At 35.0% G+C, this 19,025-nt stretch overlaps 1 protein-coding gene across 19 annotated transcripts in view, besides 1 other annotated feature; it reads left to right on the top strand.

Annotated features, from left to right (window-relative positions):
- The window catches only part of TMEM161B (transmembrane protein 161B), an 83,276-nt gene that overhangs the window by 4,649 nt on the left and 59,602 nt on the right, over positions 1–19,025 (top strand). The window contains exon 2 of one of the 19 annotated variants that reach the window (NM_001289008.2): positions 4,834–4,965. The exons of 14 other annotated variants lie outside the window; for them this stretch is intronic. Coding sequence is in view for 2 of the 5 variants with exons in the window: in XM_024454373.2 (XP_024310141.1) it covers positions 18,430–18,513 (84 nt within the window). In the remaining 3 variants the exon portion in view is untranslated. Of the gene's footprint in view, positions 1–2,467; positions 13,947–14,015; positions 18,514–19,025 lie in introns of those variants that run through there. 4 more of the 19 variants (XM_047416808.1, XM_024454373.2, XR_002959844.2 and 1 more) reach the window with 4 other exon arrangements.
- Positions 6,549–7,202: an enhancer, noted in NCBI's record as "OCT4-NANOG-H3K27ac hESC enhancer chr5:87552812-87553465 (GRCh37/hg19 assembly coordinates)". NCBI's record gives its function as "activates a minimal SCP1, AML or CMV promoter by ChIP-STARR-seq in naive H9 embryonic stem cells {active_cell/tissue: H9 hESC(naive)}" and the evidence as "EXISTENCE:reporter gene assay evidence [ECO:0000049][PMID:30033119]".

Here is a 19,025-nt window from a genome sequence, read left to right as displayed (position 1 = left end):
TGCATTTTTAATAAGTTCCGCAATTAAGTTTTGTTTTTTTTTTTAAATCCTTACTCTAGCACTGGATGCAGTTAAGAGTTAAATTGATGGACCTTAAACCCCTACTAGAGAGAAATGCAAGTATAAGAGACTTTGATGGAGATACTGGAGGTCCTTTTGCCAGCTGAGTGGTAATTTGACATGCGCAGTTTGAAGGATGGATTCGGTCATGTATTAGCAGTTAACCACTAAGGTTAACTTTTAGAGGAAACATTCAGGTTTCTTCTCAGTTCTCTGACTTTATTTTCTTCTGACTGCTTTCCTTCACTGCTTTCTTACTACAGAGGCCTAATTGAAAAAATGTTATAGACTGACTTTTCTCTTGGTTAATATTTGGTTGGTTCAAGGTTGGTTTTTAAGATTAGTTGATACTTTGGGCTTTGATCCACTTAAAAAAAATTGGTTCTTTTGTTTTCTCCGCAACAAAAGCTTAAAGTGCATTAAGTTGATTTCAGAAAATCAGAAGATATTCTAAAGTGTTCATTTCTAAGAGAGAAGTTATTATTTTCTGACTGTTGTTAACGTGGTTTTGCCCATGTTAGTAAGAATGAATACAGCTTGTCTCAAAGGAACTTTTTAGAAATAAACTTAAGTGTAAACTCTTTGTATACCACTTACTCTTGAGTTATAGAAAAAAAGAAATCCTTACAGTCATGGTGAAATGAATATTCTTTTGGCTTTGAAATGACTGTACCTTTTGTTTCACCAAACTTTAAAAAAAGTTCTTAAATCATTCATTTGTTTTTATTCACCATCTGTATGCCAGGTACTGTTTTTGGCAACAGGGATATAACTGCTTAAAAACAGAGACAATCTCGGCCCTCATTTATTGGGAGAGGCTGATGATCTCATGATGAAATGGGCATGTAATATGTCAGTTGTGATACATTTAACAGAGAGAGTAAGGGGATAGAAAATGCCTGTTTTAGATAGGGCATGTAGGGAAAGCTTCAATGAGGAGGTGACATTGTAGCAAATTTGGATGCATAGATATTCAGCCCACGTGCCTGGTACCCATATTTATTAACTGCTCCTGTAAAATTATTGTAGTACAGTGTATCTAAAAAGCAAGCAAAGAGCTCATACTGTTTTTAATTATATAAATCTTTCCATAAATTTATTTACTGTCAACTTTCCAAACAGTAAACAGAAAAATAATAGAAATGTGTTTTTTTAAAGATAGTAATCGATTATATGAAATTTCATGTAATAGATTTTATTTTTGTGTTGCATTAAAATTTTTTTGCAGACTTTTTAAAGAGTAGTTTTAGGTTCACAGAAATCTTAAGAGGAAGATACAAGAGATTTCCTAGATATTCCCTGCTCCCACACATGCATGTCCTCTACTATTATCAACATCCTTCACCAGAGTGGTAAATTTCTTACAATTGATGAATCTACATTGACACACCATAATTGCCCAAAGTCCATAGTGTACTTTGGGGTTCATTCTTGGTGTTGTACATTCTATGGGTTTGGATATAGTTGGAATCTTACAGTATGTAGACTTTTCAGATTAACTTCTTTCACTTAAGAATATGCATTTAAGGTTCATCTCTGTCTTTTCATAGCTCAATAGTCCATTTCTTTATAGGGTTTAATAATATTCCATTGTCTGATGTACTACAGTTTATCTATTCACCTACTGAGGGATATCTTGGTTGCTTCCAGATTTTGGCAATTATGAACAAAGGTGATATAAACTGTATGTACAGTTTTTTGTGTGGACAAAGGTTTTCAGTTCCTTTGGGTAAAAACCAGCAAGTGCAATTGCTGGATCATATGGTAAGACTGTAAGAAACCACAAGTTGTCTTCCAAAGAAGCTATATCATTTTGCATTCCTACCAGCAATGAATCAGAGTTCCCATTGCTCTACATTCTTGCCAGCATTCAGTGTTGTCAGTGTTCTGGATTTTGGCCATTCTAATAGGTGTATAATGGTATTTCCTTATTTTAATTTGTATTTTCCTAATGACATGATGTGGAACATCTTTTCATATTCTTATTTGCTGTCTGTATGTCTTTGGTGAGGTGTCTTTTAAGGTCTTTGGTGCATTTTTAAAATCAGGTTGTTTTCTTGTTGAGTTTTAATTAAGAGTTTGTTATATTTTGTATAACAATCCTTATCAGATATGTCTTTTGCAGATATTTTCCCCTGGTCTGGTTTGTTTTCTCATTTCCTTGACATTGTCTTTTACAGAGCAGATTTTAATTGTAATGAAGTCCAGCTTATCAGCTCTTTCTTTCATGGATCATGCCTTTGGTTTTGTGTCTAAAAAGTTGTTGCCTTGTCCACAGCCATCTATGTTATCTAACAGGACTTTTATAACTTTGTGTTTTACATTTAGGTCTATGTTCTATTTGAGTTAACTTTTGTGAAGAGTGTAAGGTGTGTGTCTAGAGTCTTTTTTTTTTTTTTTTTTTTTGCACATGAATGTCTAGTTGTTTCAGTACCATTTGGTGAAATTTGTTTGTTTTTTTTTTTTCTCCATTGTATTGCCTGTGCCCTTTTGTCAAAGATCATTTGACTATATGTGGGTCTATTTCTGGCCCCTCTATTCTATTCTGTTGATCTGTTTATTTCTTCTTTCATCAATAACACAGTCTTGATTATTCTAGCTTTCTAGTGAATCTTGAAGTTGGTTAATGTCAGTCCTCCAACTTTGTTCTTCAGTATTGTGTTGGCTCTTCTGGGTCTTTTGCCTCTTCAAATTAACCTTAGAACATTTCTTTCTTTTCTTTTCTTTTCTTTTTTTTTGATACCCTTAAAATAACTTGCTTGGATTTTGATTGTAATTGCATTGAATCTGTAGATTAAGTTGAGAAGGACTGCCTCCTTGGTAATATCCTTTTCATGAACATGGAATATCTCTCCATTTATTTATTCTTTGAATTCAGTTATCAGAGTTTTGTAGTTTTCTTCATACAGGTCTTGGCATATTTTATTAGATTTATACCAAAGTATTCATTTTTTTCTGGGTGCTAATGTAAATAGTATTTTTAATTTCAAATTTCACTTGTTCATTGCTAATATATAGGAAAGTGATTGACTTGTATATTAACTTTGTATCCTGCAACCTTGCTATAATTGCTTATTGGTTCCAGGATATGCCACCTATTTTTAGTCTTTTAAGTTATTGCAGTTCTTAGAGAATACAATTACAACTCACTTACCCAATGATTTTTATGTTCACATCTTTTAATTATATAAAACAGACGTAGTAGTTCTGTTGTTAAAGTAGGTTAAATATCTTTTGTGTTTTGGCTATAAACTATAAGATTTAGAAAACCTGAAACAACTTAAACTTTTGCTACTTTGAGACTTGGGATCTCAGTATCTTATTTCAATTAAAAAAATTCTTAATCATTATGAAAATCGATGTGCTTGTATGCTGCTATTTCTAAAAATGACTTTGTGAAAAGTGGCCTGGCATGGTGGCTCATGGAAGGCTAAGGCAGGAGGGTCACTTGAGGCCAGGAGTTTGAGACCAATCTGGACAACATAGTGAGACCTCTTCTTTACAAAAGGTTTTAAAAATTAGTGAGGCGTGCTGGCAAGCACCTGTAGTTCCAGCTACTTGGGAGGCTGAGGTGGGTAGATCACTTGAGCCCAGGAGTTTGAGATTGCAGTGAGTTGTCATCAGGCTGCTGTGCTCCAGCCAGGGAAACAGAGTGAGACCCTGACTCTTATAAAACACAAAAATAAAAACTAAAAATGACTATTTGAAAAGTAAAAATAAATACATGGCATTGAAAGTGTGCTTGAACTAGAATTCTATGATTTTTATAGTTTGATTCAAGTTTCTGTGATTCTGATTATGTAAATTTGGAAATACTGTTGAACATTTAGCTGAATGTACATTATGGGATACAAAGAGAGGAATATTCAGTTTCTATGGAATTCAAGAAGGGTTTCATAAAGAAAGGTTTGGATTAGATTTTTGAGGGTAAGTAGAAGTATGTCCGTTGGGTAAGAAATTGAATTTTACTTTTCCTCAATAACGATAACAGCTGCATTTATTTTACATTTAATATTTACCAGGTATTATTCTACATTCCACTTATATTGACTCATTTAAATCTTTATGAAGTAGTTAAATTCTGTTTTTTTAAACCTTTATCTTACAGATGTAGAAATGGAGGCTCAGCAAGATTGGAGTAACTTCTCCAAAATCACACAGCTAGAGATGACAGAATTTGACTTTTAACCCAGGCTTCTTGTCCCTTGTGCTGTTGTGCCAGTCTTTTGTTTGTCTTGAGTAAGATTCACTTATGAAAAAATTGAATTTCACAAGTTCAATCTAGTGTTTGAAATTCAAAAACATTTTCCTATAGAAATCATAATTAGTAACGATATTTTTAGAAAATGTTTCCCGAACCTAGTTAACACCTAATATATCTCTATAGTATTCAAGCAATTAATCATTACTATCCGGCATAGCAGTACTGATTGACATTTTTAACTAGGTGTCAAACACATCTGCCACTGCTGCAGTAAGTCATAAGATTCTTTCATATTTCTTCTACCTTAACTGCATCCACTGAAGGCACTGCTTTACACCAAAGCCTTAGTTTCTCTTAGGCCTGAAGATGCACTTCTAGTAACACTGATGAGTTGAAGAGCAATTTGAGAAATTGGGGATGAGTTGTGCTGAACTTGAATTTCTTATCAGTGTAAGCACTTAGTGAGTTACACTTGTTCCAAGCCTATCTCACGGTTATCCCAGTTCTTTTCCTGAGGACTCTTCTTTCCACTTGGGCTATTTTCAATTAGAACTTTGTTTCTTCTTCAGGTTGCAAAGAAGAATGTAATCTTGTAGAGTACCTTGCCTTCCCTTCCATACATTCAGCAGACATAGTTCCTTTAAGGGATTTTACTGCTAGGAGAATTTCATAGGTCATATTCCCATGTTACTGCTTCACAGGTATTTACTTATTTACTTACTTATCACAGAAATCCTTTAGGGGAAAGAGACAATAATGATGGGATGTTGTAAATTTTTGGAAGTAGAGAGGTTCGGATTGTGAAGAGGAGATGAGATAAATAGTAAGTGGCACTGCAAAGAGAAAGGGAGATTTTTCTCTACTAGTAGAAGTGGCTTATGAAGAAGGAACTTCAACAAGCTGTTCTGCTCCATTTTATAAATGTATGATTATAGATTGCCAATAGTTAATGCCGTGAGTACTTGATACTGTAAGGCTATGGCTGTTTTTAAAGTAAGATTAATACTTTTATCTTTGTGATAAGTAATTAGAAGCCCTTTGAAATACTAATCTAAATTATTTGTTTATATAGCTATCTTATGTCTGCCCTTTACACAGCGCTTAGCTGATTTTTGTTATCTTTTACCTGGTGATTGCCACCATTTGCCCCAATGTGCTGAACCACTTAGAAAAAGCAATGCCATAGTTTCCTGCTTTCTTTTTCTAAAAGAAAAAGTCATACAGCAAGGTTCTGTTACTGAAGCCAAAACTTCATTAACTTGATTATTATTGAGTATTTTTGTTATTTCTGGAGATTTTGGGCCTTTTTACAATGAATATAAATGATCAAATTCTTATGGTTTATGGGGATATGTATTTAAGTATTCGTGTTCCATAACTAGAACCATTTGTTTCTGCATTCGCCCTTGGTCAAGAGAGAAAGCATGACATTTTTTTCTTGAAAGGTTTGTTTTTATTGATGGTTAAATTTATTACTAGAATTTTATTTGTTTAAATTAATGCATACTTACTCCTTCCTCCCTTCCTCTGTGAGATTAATTAACATCAGGACAATGAAGCTTCATTGTATCAGTTATTACTAGACAGTTTAGTTGTTTGGGTAGGATATTGCGTGTCGAATATAGCAGTCTTTTCTTATCACAATCTTTACGAAAAAGTAGAAAAGAGCCTGGATAACTGGAATTAGAAATAATTGCCAACAAAATATGTTTTCTAGTCAATAGGGACAGATAAGCACGCTTTAAAAACATTCATTGTACTGCAGGTCATAACTTTAATTGAGACATTTAGTTCTTGATGATTAAAACTATTTTCTAATTTGATTTCAACTAACATTTACTGAATGCTTATTCTTGATTTTAATAGAGAGCTTCCCACTTAATCATTCTTATCAGAAGTGTTTAATGTCATCATAGTTCTTTCTCTTGATAGCCACTGAAAAGAAAATGTTCAGGTTATAAAGAAAATGAATCATTTAAAAAGAGAGAATTGGCCACGTATCTGAGAGATAGATCTTTTTTAAAACTATGGAACTGTTGGCATTCACAAGTCTTTCTTAAGAGAAATTCCCACAAACTACTAATTGAGGTGAATATGATGGGTGGTAGGCTAGGTTTACTCCTTTAATTTGGAACTCTGATTTCCTTTCAGGTCTTATAAATATTAGCTTATTTAATCTTTATGAGAATGGATTATTATTCATTGCCATTAGCAATAATTACACAGGCTTTGATGGTGGTTTAGAAATGTTAAATCTGTGAATGCCAATGATTAATTGTGTATTTAGCTAAAATATTGCAATCATAGACAACATGATCTGTTTGGTATTTTGGAGATCATTTGCCAGCTCTTGTCATTTTGTAGATAAGGAAAGAATCCCAGGGAGAGCTTTTCTAATTGCTGTGTAGCTAGTTAGTGACGGAACTACTTCGATCCTAGTGTGTTTAATTATTTAATGCATTAAAAATATTCACAATGAATGCATTTACCTAACTTAACAAATTTTCTTGGCTTTTGTGTATGGCTTAAAATTTAATTAAGCTGAAATTTTTATATTAAATTTATTTAATGAAGCTTTCTCAGTGCACTTTGAGCAAAGTTTTGATTTTTAGTTTGTTAAAAGGAAAGGTGTTTTTGTTTTGTTTTGTTTTGTTTTTGTTTTTGAGACAAATTCTTGCTCTGTTGCCCAGGCTGGAGAGCAGTGAGTGGTGTGATCTCAGCTCACTGCAACCTCCCCTCCCAGTCTTGCGATTCTCGTGCCTCAGCCTCCCAAGTAGCTGGGATTACAGGCTGTCGCTGCCACTCCTGGCTAATTTTTGTATTTTTACTAGTGAGGAGGTTTCACCACGTTGGCCAGTCTGGTCTGGAATTCCTGACCTTGAGTGATCTGCCTGCCTCCAAAGCCCTGAGATTACAGGCTTTAGCCACTGCACCTGGTCTTAAAAGGAAAGTATTTGTAACACAAAGCTATCTCATTAAAATGAGGAGATTGTCTTGTAAAAACAGATGTACTCCTTCCTTTGAGAAAGGAGAAAGCACAATATATTGTCTTTTACTCTTAAAGTGAATAATTTTCTTTATGCTAAAGTTTAGTGTGTGACACACAGTAGGAACCTGAATGCAATGAAGAACAGTGGGAAAAATTTATGCTTTATCCATTTATTTTATCAAAAGGTAAAGATTTATTCAACTTGTGTTTAATATCTGCCATCTCCCACCCTCCTGGGAATGGAGGCTGAAGAAATGAGATGAATGCCATTTTCAAGGGGGAGAGACCCTTAAGTTAGTGGTCACAATTGAGCATGATACAGGTTATTTTGGAGTTACGCATATGTTCTTTAGTAGAAGTTGGAAAGTCAATGAACGTTTTATAGTGCACATGAATGTTGAAGACTCAGTAGCAGTTGGTCTAAACAAACTGATTTGTACATGTCAAACATGTCTTTTCATTAATTGATTTTGGCTAATGACTTCTTTGAATACATACCTGTAGAGATATTTTCTATAATGTCAGAAAATACTCTTAAGGAAAAGTGACAGAATTTAGGAAGCTTTCTTCCATTGAACCTTTTATTTGTTACTTTTTAGTACTGTAATGAAACATTTATGCATGTCTTGGCTAGAGATTAAGTGGCTTGTTAATATGTTTAAGAATATTTTGTTCCTTGTCAACACTTTAATGACTATGGCATTGCTTTATATGAGATATTACATTATTTATTCAACCTCTTTTAACTGTGGAAAGTTATCTTTTAAAATAAACAACTGTTAATTTGAACACCAATATGTTAAAATGGTTTGTGACTTGTGTTTAATTAGAATGTTTTCTATTGTTATGAAAAAGTATCTTTTTCCTTTCCCTCTTTGTTGTTGGTCTTCCATTTGCCTTGTCATTTATACTGCGGAAAATGTCTTTTTATTTCTAAATTTAATCAAAATCTGATAAATGACTTTATATTGTCATCTTTATCCGAAAGTCTGGAGCTGGTATTTTTTAAGATAGTTACATCAAATTCACACATTCTACTGTTGTAGTTCTAATCTTTAAAAAATTTAGAATGTATCTAGGCATTGAGGATTTATGCTTTTTGACCTTTGAAAGGGTCAAAAAGCTGTACTGAGGTATTGAGGATTTATGCTTTTTGACCTTTGGAAGGACATTAAATTTCTTGTTTTTCTGATTTAGAAAATGGCAAAAAAATTATGCTTTCACTTTTTAAGGAAATTAAAAATGTATTTTATGCTGTAAAACAGTGCTGACAAACCCAATTAATTCTGTAAACAATTAAATTTGGAAATAGATAAATCTGAGTTCAAATTATAGTTGTTGACAATTATGTTTTATAATTCTATTTGTAATATTAAGATGAACTATATGAAATTGCCATTTTGTAGGTCAAGACAATTAAGTATTAGCAATTTCATAGGATTCAACCAATAAATGTACATTAGATATCAATAGGTGTTCTTATTCTTTAGCTGCTTTTCTACCAAATTCTTCTGTTCTTTCATTTCATATTTAGTATAGGCCCCCATTTTTTACTTCCAGTCCAGTTTACTGTGTCTGTAAGCGCTGCAGGTATGTTAGAAAACCAGTGAAGGCCACAGTAGTGGGATACCAGAGATGCTCTATGGGAAGGAAGTCTGCTGGTCTCTTCATGATTGTTTTGTGCTGCTTTTATCAGCTTTGGCATTATATGGGAGAATTTCTCTTCTGGATTAGACAGTCCTCAGACCTACCAAAGAACCTATTGGAAATAACCATCTTCAAAAACCCAGTTTGGGTCCATCAGTTCCACATACATAGTTTCATCACACTTTTCTTCTCAAGTTTCTAGACCTCTTAGTCACATTGCCAGAGTGGTAATTCTGGTTTTTATCTTATGACATGACATTTTTTTCCTCCTTTGAAGACCCTGATCTTGGTGTGGTTATTCTTCAAATTTTTCTTTCAAACCTTGTCCATTTTGGTGCTTTCTTTGGTTCTTTTGATTACCCACTTAATCATCCTGGATTTTCCTATTCTTGTAACCTGTATAATGTCCCATGATGATCAATCTTTTTTTTTTTTTTCCCTTAAAATTTTTTTTACAGTTACAGAGGGTCTCACTTTGTCAGGCCGGAGTACAGTGGTGCACTCATGGCTCACTGCAGTCTCAACCTACTGGGCTAAAGTGATTCTCTCACCTCAGCCTTCTGAATAGCTGGGATTACAAGCACATGCCACCATACTCAGCTAATTTTTTTGTTTTTACTTTTGGTAGAAGGGTGTCTCGCTATGTTGCCCAGGCTGGTCTTGAACTTCTTGCCTCAAGTAATCCTCCTGCCTTGGCCTCCCAAAGTGTTGAGATTATGGACATGAGCCACCACATCCTGCTAAATCAATCATTTTTCTGATGTTTTTACCTAATATGCTGAATCATGCAGATTTGCAGGTGCTTGGCAATCATTCAATCAATTCTATGTTCCTCTTTTGTCAAAATTTTCACAAATTTTAGCTGTCCCTTCTTCCTCTCCTTTCTTTTACAGCTCAACTCCTTACCCCATTGTGGTTCTTAGGAGATGATCTGAGAATTTTGAATTTTGAAATTTGAAATAATCTATAATAAGTTCTTCAAATAACTCTATCTACTGGAAGGTAGGACATCTAGAACGTTGACCTAGTTTTTCAACTACCCTGATCAAATTCATATAAACTGTGAGACCTCTGTTTTCAGAATTAATACATCTCCATACCTATATGTGCTTTCAATTCAGTAGGATATATGAGATCTTGTAATAGATAAACTTTTTTATGTTTTTGATCTCATCTATTTCTGACCCTTAAGCAGTTAAATTCCCACATTTAACTCTTCAGCACCTCCCTAATGTTGGTTCCTTCCCTTTTGCTTCAAGCATGTACATTTCTCTCTTATAATAAATATATTTTATATATATATGTATTCTAGTAACTGTCAGATTTTTCTTTTATTGCTTAGTTTATCCAATGATTATGCCCATTATTTCCATTTTATCTTTACATAATCACCTAAGTCTTATTTTACTGAAACTTACAGAGATAATTACTAATCTCATGCCTAATTTATTTTTTCTCTAAAAGTTTTAATTTTAAAAATTTTGCTTTTGATTTAAAAGCTGTTTTGCTTCAAGCTTTTATGGTATTGCTTGGACTATTTCAGTGGATTTCTAATATAGTTCCTTGCTTCCAATTACTTTTACCCCTTCAATTTATTTTTCCCATTATAGTTGCAGAGTCATTTCTCCAAACATATTTGATTTGGTTACTTCCAGGCTTTATATCCTGGGATTATTTCCAAGTACTTGCAGAAGAATCCATTGTGTGCAACCCATACTAAAGTCTAGCCATGTGGAACTTCACATTATTTCTGGATTGTGCCATTTGTTCTCCTTGTCTTTGTACGGGTAGGTATAACTGCCTGACCTTCTCTTCCTTTCCTGTTCTGATAGTGGAATACTCTTTTTAACCTTGTCAAACTAGTTCGGATGTCACCTCTGTGAACCAGTATTTCATAGACTTCCCTTGTATATTTAATCACTCTATTGGAGTGTTCCCATAACACTGGAGATTGATCTCTACCATACCACTTATATTTTATTTGTAGGTGGCAGTGAGGAGTGATTAACACTTAAAGTGTTTGATAAAATCCACATACGATGAAAGAAATAAGTTAAGTATTCCCTCCAGGACCCATGGTAGACTAGATTGTAGCCAAATTAATGGTATTTACATATCCAAAGAGAGTAATTTTTAGATAGGTTTTATCTAAAGAAAGAGTGTATCAATAAAAATAGCTAGAATTGAATGTAATTTACCCAAAATTATTTGGGGTTTGAGAGTATTCTACCCTCTAGTGTGGTATTTTGTATATTTCATCAGACTTTCATCACTCCTTGAATGAAATATGCTTTAATGATATTTGCTGCTTTCTGCCCTAAATCACTACTCACCAAGCATCCTGTTTCTAATTTGGCTTCCAGTATATCATTAAGACAGTAATCGAATGGAACACTTAGTAAACCTAAATATCTGATCCACTTCATAGTTTGTTTCACTGTATGTTAAGTGACAAAACTCTTACAAACTTATTACAACCAGTCTCCAATACATAAAGATTGATCATCCTTTATGTATTAGCAAAAGCCTATTTGCCGTGTGTTCGGAAAAGCCGAGGATGCACCCAAGGTGCTTTCCTTGGGAGGCCTATCTGAAGCTTGTCAGCCTTCTTCGTGAGTTTCTTTCAGTCTACACCTTTTCCCGTCAGTGGTTCTAGTATTCTACCAATCATCCAAACTAAAACATCTTGAAATAACCTTTGAAACATTCCTCAGTTTTATTCTACAGTTGTTATACTTTATGTTCAGTCACATTCAGAGTTTGATTTTCTTCTGAAGTAGATTTTTGTTCTTTCCTTTTGTTTCAACGACATTTATCTTATTCTTAGTTTTTATCTTTAATTGATTAATATATCGCTATATCTAATTTTCATTATGTGTTACTTGAATTATTTCAGCTCCCTGCCCCTGCCTGTTTAGAAGTCCTAGGTGATCTTTCTATTAAACATTTCAGCTAAATACCTTCTCTTGGTTTTAAAGACTCAAGGAGCTAAAATTCAGTCTTCATCCTATTTTCCACAGTTCCTTTTTATTTAGTAAGTTTGCTTTGGTTGAGGTAGGCGTTTTGCTGTTGCAAATACCTTCTGTGTTCACACTTGTCATTTAGCCTGAAATTCCCTTCTCTTTACTTTTCTGTGATTTTAGTTTCTGTCTTTAGGTTTCATCTACTCTATGAAACTTTATCCAATTTAAAAAAATTCTACAACCCATATTCATAGTACCGTGCAATTTTGTGCTCAAATATTATTTTAATATGTATATTTATTGTTACGTAATATGTTAATCTTGGGTTTTAAGCTCTGTTAAGACAAATTCTTTTATAGTAGCCCTGTTCATTCATTCAACAAGTAATCAAGTGTGCTACTATGAGCCATCAACTATTCTAAATGACATTGCTCTAAGTGTTTGGGATATAACAGTGAACACAAACATCTTTGTGCCAAGTGCCTGATGATAGCCAGGAAGATACTGGATGTATATTAGATAGACAGCATGTTCTTGTTAGTTGAATTTTCATATGCTTTTTCTATTTATAGATATAATTTCTGTGGCGACATAATTTGGATTTACAGTGATTTTTAACATTGTTTAAGATCATAAATCATTTGTTATATTGATATATAGTTCTTTTTGAAACTACCTTTGCAAAATTATGACAGCAAGAGAAATCTGACATAGTTGACTCCCATCTTGCTTCTAACCTCCAGGCTGTTCTAGGTCATTTTTGGGCATTGGCCAGGCTAACCTTGGGAGGCATTTATTTTATAGTTTAACTTTGAAGCTAGGATGATAATAGTTCCTTCCTAAAACTAATCCCCCCTGTTGAAACAATCTGAAACTGCCTTTTAAGACTAGTGAAAGACCGCAAGATTAGAATTGTGGGAGGAGCTTGAGTTCTGTTAAGATGTAGGTGTAGTTTTTATAATCCCTTATTGCTCAGGAGTCATGTGGCCAGAAGTCACAAGATTTGTGACTTCCCCAGTTACTCCTACAGATAACATCACTATTGTAATACCTAAGATTGGTTTTTTTGAGATGTTTTTCAGACTAACCACATGCAGACCCATGATTCATGACTCATCTGGTCCTGTGGCCCAGTTGAGTATATGAGGCAGACTCAGTATATGAGGACCGTTTTCTTTACCCCTATGATTTCATCCCCAACTAAGCAGCAGTCTCCATTCCCTAGCCCCCCTGTCCACCAAATTGTCCACAAAAGCTTTAGCCTCTGAGACTTTGGGCAGTGATCAGTCTCACTCAAATCAGTCGCTTCTCACTCAAATCAGTCTCACTCAGTCAGTTGAGCCATTTCTTCCATGTAGTTGGCCTTGCATTAATTAAACTCTTTATTGCAGTGCCGTGATCTCTGTAAGTTGATTTTGTCTATGCAGCAGTCAGGAAGAGCCCATCAGGCAATTACACATTTAGGGGCTTGTCCAAGATCTGCCCTTCTGGGTGCCTGTCTGCTATCTCTCAGCCTTCCACTGGTACAATGGAACTGGGAGTGAGCTCGGGCGTTTCTTATTTGTCTCGAACTGAGGGCCATCTCTGATACGGTCTCTGCCAATGAGACGCGGTCAACCCATAGTGCTTGGGCCTAATTGCAGTGAAGAAACAGTTACTGGAAGATGTCTTTAAACTAGGCTGGTGAGTGTACAAAGCACTACCAACATCCTCTTCCTTCTCCTGTTCTGGTTGGCGCCTTTTGGGCCAACCTAGCTCTCCTTAGATTGTACAGAGAGTCTTGGTTTAGGGAGATTTCTCTCCACTTAGATGGAGAACAGGGGCTTGTTTGGAAAAACACTTTTCTGGTCAGGATTCTGGTTCTGAGAGGCCTCTTGTCTGTCTTTGTCTGTGTTCTTATATGTATATCACTCTGGCTGGAATGGGAAATATTAATGATAGGCTTTTTATAGTTCTATGAAATGGAAAAAGGATGATTTTTCTTTTGTAACACGTCTTGGCCCCCACAGCTATAGCAGAGCATGCAGGGTCACCAAAGCCACTCAGGAAGAGGGAACCAGAAACCTGGCAAGCTAACAAAAAGGTAAGAATTTCTTACCAGCCAGGCTTCTGGTCTCGGTCTCTCTCTCTCTCTCTCTCTTTCTCTCTCTTTCTCTCTCTCTGTGCAAACTGGCAGAGTGAATGGTAAAAATCACTGTTTGTCTCCTTTGCAAGATTTTGATTAATGGGAAAAAAGATTTATGAGTCTAGTCTTAGGCTGTAATGAATCTGGTGTCTTTCTGTGTTGTTCTATCATGGTGAAAGATACCATAGGATAGAACATAGATATAGGACCCCTGCAAGCCTGCTGGTCCAGCTGGCCCTGCAGATTGGTTAGTTAAAACTTTGTTGTGGGTTCCTGAGGCAAAAATGGGATGAGGTTTCCCTCTTGTCTTCTTCTGTGTCCTTGGAGCTTGACTTTGTGACCACGTGGGGATACTCCCTTGGTCTCTGCCATCTGGAGGTGGGAGTTTTGGGGTTCATGTGAAACAGCTGATCTGAAAGGACTGGAAGTCTGAGAAAGGCCAGCACACTTTCGGCCCCAGTGTATCCAGTCCTTCAGTGAGTTTTGTCTTAAAAGGTCCCATCCCTATGGGCCTTTTATTGTCTTTTGCTATCTTAAGCCCATTCTTTCTGAGAGAATTATTGGGGATAATAATTCTGGGGAGTAGGGATGCTTCCTCTACTCCTTCTCTGGAAATACCTCTTGCTTATATGGTAAAAACCTGGAAAATTACGATCTGAGTTTTAAAAAAAGTTTTTGGGTTGAGTTGCCATTGGAACTACGTGCAAGATTGAAAGAAAAAAAGATTTTAGAAATCTTGTATTCCAAACAATTGAAAAGAGGTTAAATAACAGTGTCATGACTAGCCTTGAGAATCCCCTTGTGCAGTTAGAAATGCTTTGCAAGCTCAAAAATGACTGTGCTAGGCTCCTTCTGGGAAGAGTAATGGTGACTGCCCAGCACTGAAGCTCAGTAGCTAAGGCTTTTACCTTTTGTGATGATGGCCTGGATTCAATACCTGGCTTAGGGACTGAGTCCTTTCTGGTTTGACATTTATGAGACATTTTGCCTCTTATTGACCCTTTTCCCTCCCATGGACAGCTTTCCATTTCCTGCTTTCTTTCTGTGGAGGGCATACAGGGCTTTGAGGCCTTTGTATGTAGATGGTTAGCTGGGAAACTGAGACTCTGGAGAATGTGGCCAGACCTAAATGTGAGTTGTACCCAGTTTGCGTGGCAAAACTTTCCTTTCTTTGTGCTACTTTTGCCATTTGTAAAACCACTTTCCATTTCTTTGGAAATACCTAATGTGTCAGTGGTTAAGTCATAATCTTAGTTAAGGCTTACTGGGGAAAAAAAAGAAGGCTTAAAAGCCAGAGGTGTCATCTGTTTGTCCTGGCTAGAGTGTGGTAAACAGAGATTTAAAAGGATTTCCTTAAAAGAGCTCTATGGTTAAAAGTCAGGTTAATTAAAAGCTGGTAGGTAAGCTATACATATATTTAAAAGGCCTTTATAAGCTTTTTTGTCTTCTTGGATCTTGTTTTTTTGAGGAAAAGTTGTTTTTTTTTTTTTTTTTCTCAGTCGACTGAATTGTTTCTCCATTTGCTTCTGTCTGTCCTCTTACTACCCATGATGCCCACATGAGATAACCTAAGGCAATTTCTAGCAGCCTGGGTCTCCCTGGGAAAAACAGAGGTACCACAATTTTGGAAGAAATCTCTGTTTTCCTCATGGAACCGCAAGAATTGTAAGCAGAGCGATCCCTCTCAGAATCAAAGTTGCTGCTCTGTTTTGTGTAGTGTTATCTGACTTTTTTTACTTTTGGGGACATCAGAAATTACTTGGCATTATGAGAGAACTTTTAGCTTGGTGTGTAATAGCTAGGTAGGCGATATACTTTTAGGGATGGCTAATGGCAGTTACGTAGGGGATATTCAGGTTTTTGCATGTTTAGATAAGAAAAGCATGCTTTTGACCACCTGGAAGGTATGGAAACATCCTACCTCCCGCTGAGAAGTAAGACTCCTGTGGGAAGAATGGGCTGATTGGCTTGGGGCTGGCCACCAGCCTTGGAAAAATGTCCTTGCAGTTAAATTCACTATTTTGTTCTGTAGTGTTTCTGTCTTTTGGGGACCCAGGATTTGGTGTAAAAATGGGATCCTTGATTTTTATCTGGATCTTTCCATGTGAGGCAGATATCACCGATGATTCTCAAAACTTCAGTCCACTGTGTCTTGACTCATGCATTACCTTCCAAAATGCCCTTTTACACCTTTTTGCTCTCAATAATTTCTCATAGAATCCTCTTCCTGTCTTATTACATTGTATTGTAAGCAATTACAGTTGCAGTACCTTTACAATTGTATTGTAATGTGTGCTTTTCCCCCATTGTTAGTGGTCCAGTGCCCCACACATGTAGTTTGTTGTTCAATAAATGTTCATTGAATACACCAAATAGACCGGTGAAAAAAGCATTGAGTTGGAAATTGTCTGGGTGCCAGATACATCAGTAACCGGGTAGTTGAGTGATGTTTGTTGTTTGGACCCTGTTTTCCTTATACATAAATTGTTCAAAGATGGTTTGTTTAAATACATCTAGTGTGAATTCTAAGTTTTATGTGAACTTGGGTTGAAATGGCAGTTTACATCTTCTTTTGGAGTATAAATTATATGAGCATCCCTAAGAAGTCTGTCTCAACATATCTTGCTGTCTCTAAAACATGTAAACAGTCAAGAAACAAATGAATAGGAAGGTCATTGGGATATAATATCCTCTTTTTTATTTTCTCTTTTCTAACATATTTAGGGAGATAACTGAAACCATTTGGGGTGGTCTGAGTCCCAAGTATATATGCAGATATGCCTTTCAGTAGTAAACAATGTATGCTTTGTTTTGATCTGTCAGCAGGAGAGCTAGTTTAATGAAACATAAATGTCAACTCTTGAGGTTGACACAGTACTCAAAGTTTGAATTTATAAATTGCAGCACGTTTGTATTTAAGTTTTTAGAGTTTTATTTTCAGTATTAATAAAGCAAGACAAAATACTGTTATTTGGGTACATTTTATTTCTTGGAGAATTGTTTAATTTTTCTTGTTAAGAATTTTTGTAACCTTCCAAGAAACTATTACTGACAACAATTGTAAGGATCATTCTTCTAGAGACTAAAGGCAGATAAGTTTTTCTTGCTCTTCATGGCCTTAGGTTAATAGATGTGGAAAGGTTGAAACCTAAGTTACCCCAATGTTTCACCCTTCTTGGGTGCTTATGAGCTATTTTTTTAAATGGCTTTCCCCAGTTCCAGTTATCAAGAGAATCAGTGCCTAGAGGCATTGAATCCAGACAGAAACCATCTCTTTGGTCAGTTATTGTTTTGAAGCGTTAATAAAACCATTAAGGCTACTTGAATCAATGACCCATATGGTTGTGTGTTTGAGACCTCAGCCATGATAGACTTGGTATTTTCATTGCATCTCTGCTCATTTGACCAGTTTTCTATTGTGAAATTTATGTTTAAGATTATGGATAAATTTATTCAAGCATTCTCCTTTAATTAAAAATTATGAAGAATATTCAGGATATTTGATATTTGAACATTTCAAAGTTCTGCTTTTGTATAAACTTATACAGTGACACTAAATTGGTTGGTGAAGACAGGTTATTAGAATGGTTTGTTTTTGAATTTTAAATGATTGTGTTTCTTAGTTAATGAACTGGCTACTTTATACATTAATACATTAATCCCTGGCATGTACACTGTAATTGTCAATTGCATAGTAATATCTTAAAAATTGATTTTAAGTTCAACATTAATAATATATTAAATTGATAATACATATAATTCTCTAAAATGATTGCTATTTTGAAAGTATATTCTGAGGATTCGTTTTTAAATTTACATGAAAAGGAGCAACTGGTGAAATATTTTCCACATAATTTAAAAATTATCTCTCCAAAAACTTATGTAGATTAGATTCCTGTATTGGTATAAAAGTTACTTTTTTTTTTCAGTAGCACATATTTAGTCACCTAAGAGCAGATACATTGTAGGATAGATCTGTTGACTTATATAGAAGAATATAATAATATATTTATTTAGCATAGTATTCAGATGATGTTTTGGGAAATTATTTTCAGCCTCATTTAAGAAGAGGGAAATGGCATAGTAAAGAGATAGAGTGAGGTTACATTTTTGTATTGAACATTATTTTAGTCAAACATTAACACTGAGAATGTACTATGATGTTTGCCTTTCTTTGGGTCATTCTGTTTAATTTCTTCTTTGCTTTTATGTTTGATCAGTCTCTGAGTTCTTCAACAATGTCTCTAAAATGTATTTCTCTTCTGGGTACTGAAGATACCACTGTAATTTAAAGTTTCATAATTTCTTGTCTGGATTATTACAGAAAGCTAGTTGGTATTTCCTAATTCTAGTCAATCCAGCTCACTGATTTTTGCTTGTTTGTTTTTGCCTTAACATAAATTTACATCTTTAAAGGTATATCTGTCAACAGTATCTCATCATGTTTGGTGATTTGGAGGAAGGGGAGAGTTGGGCAAGATGCCCTCTTCCCCAGTTTATATACTGCCTCATATGTATCTTCCAGGTCAGTCTTTCTGAAATACCATTTAACAGTTATAACTAGTAGTTGTGACTGAGACATAATTTTTGCTGTTAAGGAGCAGAAATCATATACTTTTAATAAATTATTATATATGTTTGTGAGAGATTTTACTGAATTATGACCTTGAAGATTCCGTGTAATGCTGTTAGTTCTTTCAAAGCTAGGTTGATGTTGCCATTGTTTACAAAACTTCCCATGACTACAAAATGATCTCTTGCTTTTAAGTCTGTAATCTCAGGTAGACCAACCTTCTGGCATACTTACTAATGTATTTCTTGGTCTTGTTCTGCCTGAAAGAGTTCTTTGTAATGGCATTCATTGAATGGAGATTGTAGAACTTCTATCAGAAACTCACAGAAAATAGGATAGTAAATTCAAATGATAGGAAATGTGAAAGAAAAGGGTAAAAAATGCAACCTTTGATGTTAGGTCAGTAGAAAAATGAACTGAACTTTAACCTAGTTGATAGAGTTTAAGACATTAAAATATCCACA

Source organism: Homo sapiens, chromosome 5 (assembly GCF_000001405.40).
Source record: "Homo sapiens chromosome 5, GRCh38.p14 Primary Assembly".
Taxonomy (NCBI): Eukaryota; Metazoa; Chordata; class Mammalia; order Primates; family Hominidae; genus Homo; species Homo sapiens.
This window is presented reverse-complemented; position numbering and strand designations above follow the sequence as displayed.